The following is a 1,114-nucleotide window of genomic DNA, read 5'->3' on the forward strand; positions in this document are numbered from 1 at the left end:
GCTTACTGTATGGAGATCAGAGGGCACCAGGAAAGAAAGGTCAGAGTATTTATTGTCTACTTCATCCCCTATGGTTATATCCACTGCTAAAGTGACCAGGTTGGCCCAGCTTGCCCAGGACTTTCCTAATTTTAGCACTGAAAGTCCCACACCCAGGATGGTTGGTTGGTCACCTAATCTATTGGCCTTCTTTTCCAAGTTTCCAGCTTTAGCTGGGTACACATAAAAGCTCCCTCTCCTCATCTTCATTTCTTTACTTTCTCACCATCTCTCAACCCACTTCTGTCTCTACCGACATGATCCCACCATCCATCCTCTTCTCTTTTTGTGTGTTGGTTTATCTATCTTTTCATCTATTTTACTACTAATTTCTACATTGATGATTCCCAAGTATACATCTACAGCACTCCCCTGCCCTCATATTTGGAGGGCTGACATTTATTTAAGGCTTATTCTGTGCCAGAAACAGTTGCAAGGATTTTATAAGCATTATCTTATTTAATCTTCAGAGTGAGCTTGTAAGGTAAGTAATATTATTATCTCTATTTTAGCAGATGAGGAAACCAAACATTTAAAAGGCTAGAAACTGGTGGATTGCCAATTTTCAGACTCTGCCCTATGTGACTTCAGAGCTCCTACCCCTCAGGGAGACCCTGCCTGAGCATCCTCTGTGTTCTCCCTCCTTCTCCTGTTCTGGTTTCCCTGATAACACTCACCTCTGCCTGAAATTTTATGTATAACTATTTGTTTATTATTGCTCCAAGAGGATAAGCACTTTGTTTTCTTTGCCTCTGTATCATCACTATCTAGAACTGTTATTCTTAAACTTGAACATGCATCAGAATGATCTGAAAGGCTGGGAAAAACATAGATTGCTGGGCCCCACCCCCAGAGTTTCTTTCTTTTTCTTTTCTTTTTCTTTTTCTTTTTTTTTTTTTTGAGATGGAGTCTTACTCTGTCGCCCAGGCTGGAGTGCAGTGGTGCGATCTTGGCTCATGGCACCCTCTGTCTCCTGGGTTCAAGTGATTCTCGTGCCTCAGCTTCCCGAGTAGCTAAGACTACAGGTGAGTGCCACCACACCTGGATAACTTTGGTACTTTTAGTAGAGATGGGG

The sequence above is a fragment of the Homo sapiens genome, chromosome 1 (genome assembly GCF_000001405.40).
Source record: "Homo sapiens chromosome 1, GRCh38.p14 Primary Assembly".
Lineage (NCBI taxonomy): Eukaryota > Metazoa > Chordata > Mammalia > Primates > Hominidae > Homo > Homo sapiens.